At 45.2% G+C, this 18,273-nt stretch overlaps 1 protein-coding gene across 23 annotated transcripts in view; it reads right to left on the reverse strand.

The window, feature by feature from the left end:
- FGFR2 (fibroblast growth factor receptor 2) overlaps positions 1 to 18,273 on the reverse strand; it is a 120,129-nt gene that overhangs the window by 43,620 nt on the left and 58,236 nt on the right. For 22 of the 23 annotated variants that reach the window (NR_073009.2, XM_024447891.2, XM_024447890.2 and 19 more), the window contains one exon: positions 16,643 to 16,766. Coding sequence is in view for 22 of the 23 variants with exons in the window: in XM_024447891.2 (XP_024303659.1) it covers positions 16,643 to 16,766 (124 nt within the window). In the remaining variant the exon portion in view is untranslated. Of the gene's footprint in view, positions 1 to 4,205; positions 4,246 to 4,779; positions 5,006 to 5,726; positions 6,055 to 8,372; positions 8,510 to 9,317; positions 9,366 to 16,642; positions 16,767 to 18,273 lie in introns of those variants that run through there. The other variant, NM_001320654.2, reaches the window with a different exon arrangement.

Here is an 18,273-nt window from a genome sequence, read left to right on the forward strand (position 1 = left end):
ATACTATTCAGCCATGAAGAAGGAGGAAATGGTGCAATATGTGACAACGTGGAAGCCATGATGCTAAGTGAAACAGGATAGTCACAGAAAGACAGACACTGCCTGACTCCACTGATATGAGGTATCTAAATTCATCGCATTCATAAAATCAAAGAGCGGAACGGTGGTTGCCAGGGGCTGGGACAGGGAAGGAAATGGTGAGTTGCAATCAAGAGGCATAAAGTTTCAGTAAAGCAAGATGAGCAAACTCTAGAGACCTGCTGCACAGCATCGTGCCTATAGTCAACAACAACGTATTGTACACTGAAAACTTAGTTGAAGACCAGGCGCAGTGGTTCATGCCTTTGAGCATAATCCCAGAACTTTGAAGGCTGACGCAGGAGGATTGCTTGAGGCCAGGAGTGTGGGACCAGCCTGGGCAACATAGCAAGATCCCTATCTCTACAAATAATACAAAAGTTAGCCAGACATGGTGGTGCATGCCTGTAGTCCCAGGTACTTGGGACTGAGGTGAGAGAATGGCTTGAGCCCAGGAAGTTGAGGCTGCAGTGAGCCACGATCATGCCATTGCACTCCAGCCTGGGCAACAGAGTGAGACCCCGTCTTAGAAAAGAAAAAAAACTTAGGTGAGATGGTAGTTCTCATGCTTAGCATTCTTGCAACAATAAAATGAAATAAAATAAAAAGAATTAAATAACCACCAGACCACCAGACTGCTACCTGATCTTGTCGTACAAACTTACTGGAACCTTCCTACACAGATCTGTCAAAAGCCACACAAAACACAATCATGTGTCCATACATGAATACAACTCCATCCCAACAGGCCTGCACTTACCAGCCTCCTCCCTCTCTTCCTCCCCTAGGTGTGGGTACCACTACCCTAACCTCCAGTGTTAAAAAACAACTGAGGGAAATGAGGAGAACTCAGCCAGCTCAGCACACCAAGGATGTCTCTGCACTGTACCTGAGAATCACCATGCACTGGGCTGGAAACAGCAAATTAGAACAATAGATATCTACATCATTGGACCTTTCAGATTAAAACATCATCTAGTGGAATTTGTTGGACAAGAGCCAGACCATGTGCAAATTGACTTTACTGCATAAGCCTGTTGCTGGTCTTTAAAAAGAAAGAAAAAGTGCTAGTGGTTACTCTTAGCACATTTCATTCCAGAATCTCCCATCACTTTACAGACATCTATGTTTTCACATTATAAAGATAAGGATACTGGAGCCGCAAAGAAATCATTCATCTGCCCCTATATTGCCCATGTAGGCTGAGCAAAGAACCTGAAGTTAAGACTTCTGGTGTTGGTGGGCAGAAAATCTCAAAGCTGGGCCCCTTCAGACGTCAGGTGAAACCCTTGCTCTCTGGCTCATACAATGACCCAGGGATGGGCCCCAGCAAGCCTCCTGGTCAGGCCTAGCAGCTGGCTGGACACCCCAGGGACCTGTCCACAGCGGGCAGTGACCGAGGTCTGATTTAATCCCAGCTGGCCTCATCCATGTGGGAAGGGCAGAGTTAAGTCCGCGCACGAACAGACACACGCTCCTCTCCTCCCCAGGCCTCCTACCAAGAGACTTCACAGCACGAGGGGAAGCTGTCCTCTGGGCTAGATCCTGCCAGACAAGGTCACAAACTATGCTCCTATGCACCTAGCAAATAGTAAGAAGGTTTATTCCTTCACACAGAAATGTGAACTTTAGTATCAATTCATGCCCTGGCTCCGTTTTCCAGTTTTGCACTTGTACATGCATGTGTGTGTGTAGTGTGGGTGCGTTTTAAGATAAATATTTACAGTGGGCCTACACATCTATTCTTAGAAACAAAGGTCATAAAATCTTAAATGTCATAAGCCAGATCAACTGAGTTTCAAACCAAGTCCTCTTTCTTAAACATATTTGTTTCTAATAAATCGTTTCACAAGTAAACATTGTGCATGCAGTACCAAACCATGATGCCCCGTGAACAATGAGTGCTTTCATCCCGCCTGACATCTCTGGCCTGCGCCAGGCTTCGGCAGGGAATTTAGTCACTGAGGCAACACTGGCAGGGCCCACTACAGAGCTGCAGTCTTGTTTTCCTTGTGGTCAAAGTGCTGCTGAGCTCCAGTTATTAAGTTATTCCAATGCTATCCCGGCTATGTATACACACACACACACACACACACACACACACACACACACACACACACCCCAAGTTTGCAATGGTTTAATGTTATTGCATTTGCAAATTACAGCATACCAAATGTTACACGCTTGCAGTCTTGAATTCATCTTTTCAAATTTTCTCACCTTATACAAAATAACCTCTTAACCACCTCCACTCCCCCTCCGCCCTTTCTCACTTCTGGTAGAAAAACTGCAAGCAGGATTGTTCTGTAATAGAAACCTTACACTGTCTTCCAAACTTATTACAGCTGCCTTCAGTATAAAATGAAACCTTAGAGAATGTTATTTAAAATGTTTTTAAAAAGTCAGTAGGTCTCATGTTTCATTTCTCCACATCAGGCTTTGATTTCCTTTGCAACCTTATTCTCTGCCCTTAAACAAGTCGGAGGAGGAGGCCTGGACGTCTTGGAAAAGGGCCCAGGATGCCAGCATCTGCCGAACGCTGCGCTCCTCCTCTCGAACCCTTCAGCGATCCACCACCCCTCGGAATCCCTAAGAACCTCAGAAACAGTGAACAGTAAGTGGATGACAGCGCCTGGACTCCTTTCCTAACTTCTGAAAAACCGAGGTGATGGCAGGGTGCAGATGGTGGACGAGGATGCAGGCTGGGCAGAGTGGGGGCCCCCTTCGTGGCCTGGCCCAGCGGGCACTACGGCAGAGACAAAGGGGACGATGACCCAAAGAGCTCATGTGTTCTCCCCACCAGGAACCTCCCCGGTCCCTGGGCAAACCAAACCCCTCAAGTTTGCAACTTTTTTGCAACAAACTGATATAAAAAGAATCCCCTGATGTATTATCTCTGGGCGAGAGACTAAAGCCCAGTGCTAGTTCATCTCTTCTTCTATGTGATAACAAAAATCACATCTTCTCCACCAGGAAGGACAGGAAGGATTTACAGTTTTAGGCAAGATTCTCTTCTAGCATGTTTAACTCTCAGATATTATATAAAACAGATTTTCCTTTTTACAAAGGGAGTGAGATAAACACATGGAAAATAGGCTGATGAGTAGCTCCTCTGTTTACTGTAATTTTAATTACATATATACACATATAAGAATAGACGTTCTGAGGTTCAGCAGGTTGCAAATGCACAGTGCATGGACCTGGAACAAGATGAGAACCTTCAAAAGAGTGATTGGAAGGTGGCTGTGTGAATTCCAAATTAAGACGGAATGGAAAGCAGTCCAAAGGGTGCGGCCACTGCTGCCGGGACAGTTGGCTGCACTGCTGGAATGAGGTTCCACCAAATAAACGCGTAGTAAACACAGGCTGAAGTGCTTTAAAAAATACATTCTCTCCCAGCGTTCTCTCTCTCTCACTCTCGGTCTCGCCCCCTTTCTTCAAGTGTCCACTCTACTAAAGCAGAAAGCCCAGCTGCTAAGAATTGAAATATCAGGATGGGCTCTGTCAAGCCCTGCTCTGTAGCTGGGAGCCATAACCCACCTAAAGACTGCAGCAGGAAAGCACAGCCTGCTTCCTTCCAAGAGGTCATTATTGAGGGAGAGAGAGAGAGAGAGAGAGAGGAAAAAAATACCTGAGTGACAAAGAATAAATCTTTGTTAATTGACCATTGAAATTTTATAACATGCCAGTCCTCCTCTGGACATAGTAATATGTTTGCTCATAAGAGATCTACAACTTTTGCTCTGACATAGCAAAGGCCATAAAAAATGTCCACCGAGCCGAGAGGCCTCATGTCTACAGGCTCAGTAAACATGCATCCCGGGGATCAGAAGGAGAACCAGGCTCTTAAATTACACCTATAAATTAATCAAGCACAGAGTGGCTGGTTTCCCAGCTCACACTGGTCTCCTGAGCATTTCTCCCCAAAAGTTAGGCAGTACTTGCCACAAAGAGCCATTTCAAAGCCACCTCTCTCCGGCAGTCACACACCAAGAGACTCGAATCACACGGAGTTCCCAGTATTGATCTGGAAACAGCCAGTCTCCTGCTCTCAGGCCCCCATTCATGTAAGGAGCGTGGATAACCTCGCTTGCTCTGTCTTTAAATTAAAATCAAAATTTAATTACCTTTCCTCCAAAATGGCAGTCTCTTAGCAACGCCAAAGAGCTGAAAAGGGAAAGAACATTCTGCGATTTGGAGGACAAGTGAAAACAACTGAGAATTCTTTTTCTAAAGCCTGCCTAGCTTTTTTCTAAAGAGTAGGCGGTGGTTGCTTTTGTTGCATAAAAACGCACTAAACCAGTTAGCATGAGGCATGGTTATTAGGAGGAGGAGGAGGCCGATCAAAGCTCTCTGAAGTCTGAGGAGCCCAGAACTTGCTAAAGGCCCCACGCTAATTACAATTAGTAGAATGAGTTCATTGCCTTGTCAAGACTCCACCTAACGCACTCAAGCCTGACAGGCTAAATCTCGTTGGGTTCTGAGTTTTGTTTTGTTTTCCCAGAAATACGAAGCTTTCTCCAGCTTCTGAAGATCAGCACAAAGGAAGGTCAGAACTAAAAATGATTAGCAGAAAAAGGGAACGCTATGACGGCCAGGAAGACCACCTTCAGAAAGAGCCCAGGTGCCCACAGCCAGTATCTTGGCTTGTCACCTCCTAGAATAGATGAGTGGGCTGGGATGCTGGGCACCCAGAATCACCTGTTTTGTTTTGTTTAAACACATTTCTGTGGAAGGTCACTGGTTTGTTGCCCTTTCTCCCTCACAGGCTTGGCACATGCTCGTTTTGTTCTTTCCTCTTCGCTGTCTGGTCACCCAGGTGTCCGCATCTTCTGTCTGGATATCTGACTCTCGGAAGTCTTGCAGAATCGGCTGGGGCTCCCACTTCCTCTAAAACACACACGTCTCTTTGCAGAGAGAGTGAAGTCTGCGGAACAAACTTGTTTGGGTAAAAATGAAGTGTCCTCCCTCCAGCACTAAAGTCACAAAGTGACTTATGGAGGCTGCACCCTGTGAAATGCTAGAAGCAAAACACCACTAATGCCTTTGTGCTTGCTCGATGAAGTGAAGAAGAGAGTAAAGTGCTGGCTGGGCTCAGGGCCTGGGAAGACCAAAGCAGGTGGAGGCAAAGTACCTTCCCTAATTAATGTTACAGGCTGTATTATTAGTACCTTCCCTAATTAATGTTACAGGCTGTATTATTTGGCTTGGGGTTGAGTGGCTTCTACCAGCTGGGTATCAATTTGGGTCTTCTTGGGCGAATTACAGGAGTAGGGCTGTGTGTTATTTACACCCCAAGTGTTTAAGACACTCTGAGCTCTCTGCCTTCAAAAAGTTTCACCAGAACTGAAGATTCTTTGGTAACCAGAGAGTTATTATGCCAAATTTACGTTCGAAATTGGTCTCTTTTGCTAAAAGGAGTCATGGTTTGGGGATGATGGAAAAGTCCTGGAGATGAACAATAATGATAATTGCAAAACAAATTGAATGTACTTAATGTAAATGAATTACACATTCAAAAATGGTTACAGAGGTATATTTTATGTTATGTATATTTTACCACAATTTTTTTTTAAAAAGGAGACATAACAAAGGTGACAATATCTCAGAGTGAACAAGATCAATTTCTAGGGTCATGGAAAACCTACCTTCTCAATCAGCGAGGTATATTGACCTTGTCCAGTTTACTCAGTGAGAGCTTTTCTATCTCCTGACCCACACACACTAGGCAGGAGGTCCCTCCCTAGGTTGTGCTTGGGTTTTGACACTGATGTAAAACTCAGGCGTCAGTCTCCCAGGCTCCCTCCCGAGGAGCTGAGGTAAACACAGCTGAGAGCGTTCATGCCTGGGAGTCACGTCAGAGCCTCAGCAGCCGCCACTTGCCATAGGGGTGCAACATCTTTCAGGAATGCAAGATTATCAGCTGGTGTCTGCATAGCTGGGTTTCCTTCAGGGGAAGAAAATGTTTCCTTCGAGCTGGAAAAGTTTGTTCTTTTTTAATGTCCAGGAATTAGGTATACCCTCTTATTACAATGGGTGAACTCCCAATTAGAGTATCTTCTCTCAAATGATTTGCAAAGAAGCTAAAAACCAAACCACAGGGGAGCCCTCCGTCAAAGACAGCAACCACTCCAAGTAAGTAAGGCCCCTTAGCTTTAAAATGTTTGACTGAAATCTATCAAAAATGATCCAGTTAACCAACCTTTACAAATCTGTCCTAGAAAAATATTCACACAGATGCCCACTAAATAAGTGTGGACAAAGCTTGTCGCTGTAGGGTTTTTTTTACTGGAAAACAAAAGATCTGCACAACAATCATATTGTTTAATATGATTAAACGAATTGTACTACATCCGTGAAAGAAGAGCATATTGGCCACTAGTAAGAATGAAGGAGATTGAGATGTGCAGACATAGAGGGATGTCCATTGTAAAAATGCTGGCAGGTTTCATCAACCTTCACCATCTAAAAAGCCTTTCTTCTAGAGAAGTCTAGAAAATCTATCATGCTCATCTCTCTCACATGCCTTGTTTTGCTCCTAGGGCGGTTCGAGCAGAAGTAAAAGCTTTCAGCCCATCTGAGCAAACAAGAAATGCCTCCCTTTGATAGGAATAACATGAGAGGCTGAACAATAAATCCCATTTGTTTTCTTGGAGATGAAACTCAGAAACTGAAAATAATCACGGTTCTAGATACTTCTAAGTACAGCATGACCTAAAGAGAAACTTCAAAATAGTCACCCAGATCACAAAAGCCTTCAATCCAAACGCCACTGCTCTTCTCACTGTCCAAGCCAGATGGGAAGCCTCAAGTCAGGCCCCAGCCCCAGTCCCTCCCTATGAACACTCGGTGAGAGTCTCACATACAGAATGGTTTTGTTTTTTCAGTCCAAAATGTAAAATTTATTTATTTATTTTGAGATGGAGTCTCGCTCTGTTGCCCAGGCTGGAGTGCAATGGCACAATCTCAGCTCACTGGAACCTCTGCCTCCCGGGTACAAGCAATTCTCCTGCCTCAGCCTCTAGAATAACTGGGACTACAGGTGTGCACCATGACGCCTGGCTAATTTTTAATATTTTAATTTTTTTTGTTTGTTTTTGAGAAGGAGTCTCACTCTGTCACCCAGTCTGGAGTGCAGTGGCACAATCTCAGCTCACTGCAACCTCCGCCTCCCACGTTCAAGTGATTCTCCTGCCTCAGCCTCCCGAGTAGCTGGGATTACAGGCACACAACACCACGCCTGGCTAATTTTTGTATTTTTTAGTAGAGATGGGTTTTTACCATGTTGGCCAGGCTGGTCTCAAACTCCTGATCTCAAATGATCCACCTGCCTCAGCCTCTCAAAGTACTGGGATTTCAGGCGTGAGCCAGCACACCCGGCCAAAATGTAAAATTTAAAGGGCTAAGTCCTTTACCTTTCAGTTTCAGTCCAGAGTGTACACTGAACCAGTAAAATGAAAAGTTCCTTTTTCTAATAGAGCATAATTTCCAAAAGATCCTACTAGAATAATATTCAATGTTTGTCTCTCAAAAGACCACAATCTCCCTGATCCAGTGGGGAATATGTCTGGGGCACCATTTGACCTGTAGATTTGCATACTTATTTGGGATGGACAGAATTCCTGCCAGCCTTGTTTGAGAGAATCCTGTAATCCAGAGGCTTTGAGAAAGAGAGAAAAAGTTGGAGTTCCATCAAGATCTAGAAATTTCCATCCCAATTTATGGTCTTCGACCTCAAAATGTGACCTGAGGAACTCCATGAGGGCAAAGCCTTATACCTCATTCAAGTGACTGTCACCCTCTCGACCACATAAAGGCTGCGTGAGCGTGCCACGTGCTTCAAGGATAGAGAATTAACCACTGCAACTCAGCAAATACACAAAATCCCAGCTAGAGAGCTCTGCTCTATTTTCTCCCTCCAAGCCAAAGCAATGAGGCTCCCATTGCCTCATCGCCTCATCTGTCTCTTCTCAGAAGAGGAAACAGAACAACCTCCCCACAGCAACACCGACACCCTTGGCCATCTATTTCCCACAGACACCCACATTTGACCAGCTATCATGAAAGACGCACAGTGGTTCTCTGATGCCACCCTTCCAAATCTCTAAGTAAGGAGCACATCCTACCTGTAGGTAGAACCCTACAGCATCCTACCTTCTCTGACTGTGAAAACAAACCAAGCATGAAGACCATGAATACAACAGCCGGGTCTCCTAAGGGAGAGGGAATCCGTGAAAGCAAACCAACAGACACATCTTTTAAAAGGGGAAGAACACACAGCATTCCACACTCACATCTTAACAAGAGTTGGCAGGCCAGGTGCGGTGGCTCATGCCTGTAATCCCAGCACTTCGGGAGGCCTGCGCGGGCAGATCATCTGAGGTCAGGAGTTCAAGGCTAGCCTGGGCAACATAGTGAAACTCCATCTCTACTAAAAATACAAAAATTAGCCAGGCATGATGATGTCCGCCTATAATCCCAGCTACCAGGAGGCTGAGGCAGGAGAATCACTTGAACCCAGGAGACGGAGGTTGCAGTGGGCCAAGATCATGCCACTGCCCTCCAGCCTGTGCAACAGAACAAGACTCCGTCTCATAAAACTTCCCAACTGAGGTCTTTCGGTTTACAAAGGCAGCCGTTGATAAAGCCACATGAGTAAATGAGTTTAGAGAGAAACTCTAATTTCTTGCTTCAGAATTTGCAATGTTAAGAACCACAAAACTCCAAATATAAGCAACTTATTAAACTGTTTTTTGATTATTTCAATTCAGCACACGCTGATAGAAACCTCGCTAAGTTCCAGCACATTACTGCACACTCTTACTGCCATCACTAAATTGACATTTCATGGCAAGTTTATTTGCCCAAGCTCTGACAGAAGCAGCTTTCTCTCTGCCCCATCCTCACCTGAATCTCCAGGTAACCTCTTCTTACATAAAACTGTAAGATATTAACTTGATTTTAACACTTCTACATCCTCTTTGCCCACACCATAAATGAAATGCCAAGATTAAATGCCAGACCAAATATTAGCCCTCTCTCCAGCCACCTCACCCAGGCCCCCTGCAAGAATCGAAAGCAATCAATAAGGCTTCCTTCCTCAATGGTGGGGCAAAGGACAACGGGTAGCCTGCAGAGAATGTGACAAAAAAGCTGACATCGCAGAGTTCTACCATGCCCCATCCAGGCTGGCGTGTGCCTGCTCCCACCCCAGGGAGCTGGCACCCGCAGAATACCACCTGCTCCCAAAGGCTTCTTGCTGGGGTCAGTTCTGCGGGAGAGTCTGTATTTGCCAGTCAGTACGTTTGGAGTGATCTAGCTGCCACTAACCAGCCTTTGCCCCCCGGGATCCCTGTTGTGAAACAGGAATGAAAAGCTGCTTTGTAGCAATCAAAAGCTCATTAAACAGTAGCTACCAAAGGAAGTTTTGAAATCTCTATCCTGGAGGAAAGGACAGGACTGACCCCTCCTTTCATCAGGATGGGCTCAGGGTGCACGGCTCTGTCTGGAGATGCAAGAGGAAGTATGGGACCAACGCACAATAACGACTAACAGTTGCATGGTACTATTATTTAAAAGCGCTGCCTCTCCTACCACCTCCTCCTCCCCATAGTGCTACAAGGAAACAGTCATCACCCCATTTTACAGGCAAGGAAACTGAGGCTCAGAGGTTCCATGCCTTTTCTAAGGCCATAGAGTTAGCAAGGGTGGAAACAGAACTTGACACCCCTCTCCACGTAATTTCCACCTGAACCTCCAGAGAGGGCATCTGGCACAGAGTAGAGACCCTTAGGGGTTGTCTGTGACAGCGATGGTTTATAAGAACAGGATGAGATGGCTGCTGGGGACACGAAAGCGGCAAAAGGAAGGTGCTTCCTCCTCAACTCCGCTCCGGTTCCGTGATCTGTCAACTAAATAAGCCCACTTAGAAAGGCTGTCGCTGTGACCCATTACCTGGCACGCCACCCCAATCCCTTCTCAACAGAGGGGCTTTCTGCCCCCCTCCGGTGAGATTTCGCAACTCTAGAGCTGGCATGCAGAGCCCGTGTCAGGGTAGGACACCAAGTCTTACACTCAGAGCAAGAAATGGAAAAGAATTCACTGGCAGCAAAGTCAGGAGTATGGAAAATCAAATGAGCCCTGGCCAGGAAGCCTCTAAGTCAAGAGGCTTCAAGTTCAGAACCCCACAGGGCTCTACGGAGCCGAGACCTTGTGCCAGGAACAGGTACAAGCATGACAACCTAAAAGGTAATGGTCAGGCTTTCAATATCCTAACGTCTCTGGACGTGCAGAATCATGTCATTTAAATGATGCCACCACAGCCACTCCTTATCACACACAGAAACAAAAATTCCATCCAGAAGCCACAGTGTGATGGAAGCCGAGACTGAGATGCAGCCTTCCATCACGAGCAAGTGAGCAGGAATGACTGAATCTTGACAGCTTCAGTAATGAATTAACAGGTTAATTAATTAACTAGGCCACCGCTTCTTCATTTACTTAACCACTACTTTGTTCCCAACCCAGGAGACAGTCCAAACTTCACACTCCAGCTGTGGTTTGAGGGACTCCGCCGTGCCTCCGTCCCCTGGCCCCAGCTCAGCTATCACACTGGAGCCTTTGTCTTCCTGGGACAGAGGCTGCCCCAAGCAGTCAACAATTTCAGCCATTCCTCCTTCTTCCACTGGGGATGGGCTGCCAAAAGCTCCCAAAACTCCCTTCCAGGTGTCAACTCCACATTCGAGCTTATCAGTCAGTGCTTGGAATAAAAGACGCTTCATTCTTGAACACACACCTGAGGGGGGACTTCGCTCTGGTACGGATTCCTGTGCGCTTTCAGGCTGTGTCCTATCATGTCTGGGGCTGAGTTACAACAGATTTATGTCAAGGGCTAGTTGACAGTGCCATGCTGATCTGCCGCCATCAAGTCAGGGCTGGTAGTGATGCCTGACCCATCCAGAAGTGACATGCGGCCTCTGATGGGCCCCCAAACAACAACTGCCTGCTGCTTACAGCTTTCATTTGAAGGGATGCGGACAGGCAGGGGGAACAAATTTCTGGAAAGTTAAACTGATAAAAGACCGGGCACGGTGGCTCATGCCTGTAATCTTGGCACTTTGGGAGGCCGAGGCGGGCGGATCACTCCAGGCCAGGTGTTCGAGACCAGCCTGGCCAACATGGTGAAACCCCATCTCTACTAAAAACTACAAAAACTAGCTGGGCATGGTGGCACATGCCTATAATCCCAACTATTCAGGAGACAGAGGCAGGAGAATCACTTGAACCTGGGAGGCAGAGGTTTCAATGAGCCAAGATCATGCCACTGTACTCCAGCCTGGGCAACAAAGCAAGACTCTGTCTCAAAAAACACAAGGAGTGGAGAGAAGACATATCTGGCCTTGACAAAACCAGAGGCACCATTTCCACTTCCACTGTACTTTGCCCCCAAAATATCAAATGCCAGGCAAAAAGCTTGACATACCTGAGGGTCTCTGGAAATGCAGAACTGGAATGCCCAAAAGAAGCAATAATTCACGATTCAAAGCCAAATCGTCTACATGAGTGAGGAAGAGCAACTAGTCTTTTAAGGTCCCATCTTTCTCCCGCACATTCTGTCTTCTGCAGCAAAGAACTGAAAGCAGGGTGGGGTGACAGCAGCACCTCCTTAGAGTCGGGCTGTGGCAGTCACTACTGAAACACACCACAGTGAACATCAAATGAAGAAGTCCGCTTGGAGAGCAAGGAGCATTCATACAGATAGGCGTGGAGAACACCCAGATGGAGGCCCCAGCTCCAGAATGCCTGCTCCAAGCCCTTACTTAGCAAATCACTTACCCCAGCTGAACCTGAACTTCCTCCACTGCAAAGTGGGGGAGGGGAGGGGTGGGCGTAAAGAAGCCAACTCCATGAACTTCAAGTCCTCAAACTCCACACCCCTCTCCTGCAAGTCCAACAGCCAAATCAGTCTCAGGATGGCCTTGATGACAGCATTAATCAAAGGTGGAAACCTCAGCAGGAAATGTCAATGTCAGCCTCTGGCCACGTCTGTAGGTCCCAAAATGGCTTTTTTTTTTTTTTTTTTTTTTTTTGAGACGGAGTCTCACTTTGTCGCCCAGGCTGGAGTGCAATGGCACAATCTCAGCTCACTGCAACCTCTGCCTCCTGCGTTCAAGCGATTCTCCTGCCTCAGCCTCCTGAGTAGCTGGGATTACAGGTACCTGCCACCACCCCTGGGTAATTTTTGTATTTTTGGTAGAGACGGGGTTTCACCATGTTGGTCAGGCTGGTCTTGAACTCCTGACCTCATGATCTGCCTGCCTCGGCCTCCCAAACTGCTGGGATTACAGGTGTGAGCCACCGCGCCCGGCTTTCTTTTTTCTTTTTTGAGATGGAGTTTCACTCTTGCTGCCCAGGCTGGAGTGCAATGGCATGATCTTGGCTCACTACCACCTCCACCTCCCAGGTTAAAGCAATTCTCCTACCTCAGCTTCCCGAGTAGCTGGGATTGCAGGCGCCCACCACCACACCCGGCTAATTTTTGTATTTTTAGTAGAAACGAGGTTTCACCATGTTGACCAGGCTGGTCTCTAACTGCTGACCTTAGGTGATCTGCCCGCCTCGGCCTCCCCAAGTGCTAGGTTACAGGTGTGAGCCACCATGCCCAGCCCCAAAATGGCATTCTGTTTGTTTAATAAGACTTCTGATTGAGACTAATAAAAGCTATTAAAGATCCATTCTAACCCTCAAAAGAATCCTGGTTTGGAAGGGAGGAAACCAGCATTTGTTGCTGGCCACCTACCTGCCAGCCTGATGTTTTCATCTGCTAACCCAACTGATGCCTCGTAACTAATGTAGTGAGCTGAAGGGTGACCTTTGAGAAGGTACGTCCACGTCCTAAGCCTTGGAAACTAGGAATGTGACCTTATTTGAAGAAAAAGGTCTTTGCAAAAGTACTTAAGTTAAAAATATCAAGGTTAGCTCATCCTGGATTTACGGTGGGCCCTAAATCCAGTGACAGGTGTCCTCACAAGAGGAAGACAGAAGGAGATTTTGAGACACACAGTGAGAACATGACTACATGAAGATGGAGGCAGAGATTGGAGCGGTGCCTCTACAAGCCAAGGACAGCTACCAGAAGCTGGGAGAGGGGCGTGGAACTTGCCAACACCTTAATTTTGAATTTTTAGGCTCCAGAACTGTAAGAGAATAGATTTCTTTTGTTTTAAGCCAATTAGTTTATAGTAATTTGTTAGGGGTACCCTAGGAAACCTAATACAACCATCATAGGAATGAGGTAAGTATCATCATTCCGATTTTACTGATGATAAAACAGAGCCTCAGAAAAGCTAAATAATTTGTCCCAATTCACTAGGGGCCCCAGGTATGGCCACGGACAAACCTGCTGTTCATTCCACGGCATAAGCCGCTTTTTTTGTTCTAACATTCATGAGTTCCAGTTCCTTCATTTTTGGACACAAGGAAAGTGCAATGAGTCATCCCAGCATTGTAGCTTCACAGTGACAGGACCTCAGTCAGAATCCAGGGCTCTGGTACCACTCAATGATGAACGATGGTGAAGGCTCGCCACCTCCCGGAGCCACAGCTACTTTAGGGGAGCCCATTTTATTATCGCCACAATTACCAAAACGTGGAGCATCACACTAATTTTCCCTTGCAGTAAATAGCTGAAAAGTAATGGTGTCAATTTTAATGAGGATCAAGCCAGGCTCCTAAAAGGGCTCCCATAAATGAAAGCATTTCCCTTACACACAACAATGGCTTGCCGTTTAATTCTAGAACACAAGAATGTCACTTAAATTACACGGCTTTTACATTAAAGTGCTTATGGGAATGCCTTTCCAAGGAAGAATTTCAATAAAAAGATCTCACCCATCTTGATGCTTCATAATATCTGAACCACAATCTATGTATCATAGAAACAAAAATAAAACCCCAAAGAATGTGGGCAAGAATGGGACTTCGCTTTCACTGGGAAAGGGTTTCTGATTTTCTGTGAAACAGAGAGGTGGCTGAAAAGCTGTTATCACACAGCAGTGTATCACATTTGGGCCTGTGGGCTACCAGAAATTCACTGCTTAAGCTTGAATCCTTTTTGTTTCCACTTGCTGAGATGTTCAGAATGACTGCCAACCCTGTACGTCTATATGAGCCTCTTTAGCTGACTCAATTCTTATTTTATTAGTGCTTCGCAAAGCAATTACTAGGGTTTTGAGCAGAGATGAGAGTATTTCACACTTCCATCTTTACTGAAAATGCCTTTTACTCCACTGACTTTTGGCTTCTATTTATAAAGAAGGTTCAAGGCTTGGAAAATTATTGGAGTTGAGCTTTAATGGATATTCCCAACCAGCATTGTGTCATTATTGGCCCGTGTTTAGCTGGGCGATCTCCCAAATTTGTGACATAATCAGGCCTCTCTCTGCATTACTCCATACACTCCACGCTCTCTCTACATTACACCACTGAATCATACGCTCTTTTCAACAAGACTGATTGCCAGGGGATTAACATTAGACAGCACAATTCCATTATTCAGCAGCCCAATTCAAATCCCAACCCTAAACTCTAAGAGAGATTTCAGGGCTTCACAGGGATGAGCCGCCAGAAAGCTCAAAGGGGAGGTGGGGTGAGGGGCTTTTGAATGTTTTACATAACAACTCAACCTAAAACTTGCTTTAAGCAAGAGCCCAGACCGGAGTGGCCGCCATCTGACTCCACGATGCCTAGAATGGCCCCAGCCCAGCCTAATGAATGATGTGTAGACCTATGCAAAGCTATAATCCCAAAAGACTGCTATAGCTCAATTATTTTTTCCCACAATAAATTACTTAATTTCAAAATTAGGTATTTAGAACATTTAGCCCAAAATCTCTCTTTCCCTAAATAGAAATAGTTTTACGTCACATTCGGTACACACAGGAACCCAGGTAAAGGCCAAGTCATATGCTCTTTGATCAATGGATTTACAGTGTATCAATGCCAACACAAATGTTAATCATTTTCTTCTCAAATTTGAGTGTTACTTCTCTTTTTGTTTGTTTTGTAAAATATCTGAACATGGTAATTCTCACTAAGAAACATGCCACATGTTTTCTCTATGGGGAAAGAGCTCTAAAACTCACTCTTTTATGAATATCTATAGGATCAACATTATTCAAGGACCTATCAAATTTCACATGAAGGCTTCTGAAGAACAAAACTCAAATCTTCGAATAAACACTATTTTCCCTGAATGCTTATATGCAAATGGAAGTAATGGTTATATCATGCTTTCTAAGGCAGAGTGTCTCGTAGATCCAATTCCATTTAACTTGACAGAAAATCAAAATAGTTTTGTTTACTTTTCAGTTAACCTAAAATTTTAATTAACCAAATCTTTGCAATTTGGTTAATCAAGCTTTTGGATTATTTTTTTAGTGGCTTTTTGGGCAATTCCAATATGTAACGGGGTCTCCCTCTTCAAAGATGTTTTATTGAAGGAGACCCACACATGAGATGATACTAGGCACACACGCACAGGCTATGATGTAGGAGACACTTCGTTTACAGAGGCACAGTGGGTGGTGTGGGCTTGTGGAATTACCAACAGTCACATTACGGCAAAACGTGAGTGTGAACTGAGTTGAGTCTACAGCAGAAGATAGCAACCTGTATTTAGGGGAGGACAAACCAAAAGAAGGCTCAAGGTGGCAGGTTGAAAGTCAAGGCACATGACAGGAAAGAGAAAAGATGGCCCCTACATGGAAGGGATCTTAACCTGCCATCCTGCAACAATGAAGTATGTCTTGGGTAGAGTTCCATATGTTAGCAATCCTCCAAGACACAGAAACCTCCTTTCTTCATTAGTTACAACAAAGCCCCATCATCACAGGCAAAACCTGGGAAGAAACTTGAATTTCCAAGACAACAGGCGAGGTGGTCTTCAATGTTTAATTAAAATGGCCTACTTATCTGTGCACTCTGACAAAAATGTATTTATAAGCTCATATACATGGTTCCCTTTGCACAGAGGAAATAGATGCCAGGAACAGACACTGAATTGGTACCGTCTAATGACTTTCTTGTGATGGAAGTGAAGGGCCCTCAACATTCACCTTTTTCCAGCCAGCCACAGGCTCAGTCCTCAGACCTTTTCCTTTACTCTTCAGCTGGCCTTCTACAGTTGCCCTGTTGGGGAAATGATGCTTCTCTTTTAAAACCAAAGGTCTGCTACAGCACATCTGTACCCTTTTCACCTGCCCAATTAACATTTTCAGAGTAATCTCAGCTTCCAAAATGTCAGACATTTCATACCACGTCCACTTTACACAGATGACGCTTGGGAACCATGAGGATCATGCAAAGCTCATAAACCCTGGCTGCCTGGAAAACAGAATATTGTCAGATGACAGAAGCAGCCTTGTAAAATGATAGTAGAAAGAATAAGAATGAACCAATTCTCCTGAAACTTATGGGAGAAACAGGACTTAACGTTCATGCTTTCAAACGAGTCAAGCAAGAATGGGCTGGTATGCAGCCGCCACACGAGGAGAGGCAAACTCACCCACAACATCCAGGTGGTACGTGTGATTGATGGACCCGTATTCATTCTCCACTACACAGGTATAATTTCCCTTGTCAGATGGGACCACACTTTCCATAATGAGGCTCCAGTGCTGGTTTCGTACCTGAAAAGATCAAAGCAAAGGCGGTTATTTAACAATCCTAGCACAGAATACCAAGTACTGTGCTTTCTTGATTTAAAAAGAAGCTGAAGGAGGCAAGAAAGGTATGGAAGAATCACCTAAATTCTAAATTGATAACTGTCATTAAGAATCGTGAGAAATGAAAACCATCATCATCATCATGGTGAACACCTGTGAAGCAAATATTGACATATTCAGATCTGCAGGAGTATTCGGCAGTGTACAGCGTGGGTCTGTTACCATAATGGATTTGAGGGCTCCTCTAGGAGAGGCCAACTGGCCAGGGAGCCTGAACACCAGCCAGCCTGGTACCAATGGCCACGGGCAGGCGAGCTACCAGTTTGCCCATCCACTAGGAAGCCTCAGCCTCTATGGCATCACAGAACCATGTAGAACTAACATTTATAGTGAGCATTTACTATATGCCAGGCACTGCTCCAAGCCCTCTGTGCTGCCGTAGCTAATTCATTTCTCCTAAGGGGCTCATAGTTCTCAGATGTTGTCTGGATGTCTCAAGAAGTTTCAGCTGGGAACATCAGTCTGCCCTTCCCATCTCTGGTTGTGGCTGAATAGATATACATGTTCCTCAGAGAAATACCCAGAATTCCAAATATGGCGGCAATGAATCCTTACAAAACTCAAGTTGTATATCCGTCCGTTCACAAACTTCTTGAGACTTTTCAAAGATAAGCAGCACATGTGAAAATCAGCTGTTGTGACTCCTACCCAAGGTACCATCAATACACAAAGAGACGCCATTCTTATGTTCTCCCCCTGCTTTTCAAATATTTCCATAGACTCAAATTTTCAAACTTGCGAGAGTTTTCCTTACCACAAAATGCAACATCTTGTATCTTCAGGGTTTGAGGCTTTAGTATTTCTATCTGAATCCAAGTCATTCTCTACAGGTGTTTTGGACAAGGCACTCCAGTGAAACGAAATGAAAAAATAAACAGTCAAGGCCTACTAACCTTAGCTATCATTTCAGGAATTTCAACTGACCTTCTGAGCCATGCCCTGGGCATTGCAAGTGTTTTTGGGTTAATCACGTAAAAAACAAATACAGGCAGAGCATCTGCAAGCACATGAGTGATATAAGAAACTAGAGAATAAAGAAAATCATCTCGTAACCACTCCACTATAAAAACAGGAGGGCAGAGCAGCTGTCCACTTTGCAAAGCAGCGCCAGTGATTAGCCTGCCAACAGAGTTAAGAGATGCGAAGAGCACACTGGAGTGCCACGGTTTTCATGTCAGCCACTCAGTTCTATGCAAGCCATGACTGCAGGGTGGAGGTACTGCTGCTGAGTTCTAAAACGAGGTCGCTGCTCATCACTGACAGTCTTAGAAAGGATCACTGGATGAAGGTTGGCCTCCTTCCTCCTTAACAGAGTACAAGCAGTGAGTTAAGATAGTTCTGGTCAGCCACTTTGCTGGGCTGCTGCAGTCATCGACAACTACGAAGGTAGTTTCAGAGTCTAACAGCCTGG

The sequence above is a fragment of the Homo sapiens genome, chromosome 10 (assembly GCF_000001405.40).
Source record: "Homo sapiens chromosome 10, GRCh38.p14 Primary Assembly".
NCBI classification, from domain to species: domain Eukaryota; kingdom Metazoa; phylum Chordata; class Mammalia; order Primates; family Hominidae; genus Homo; species Homo sapiens.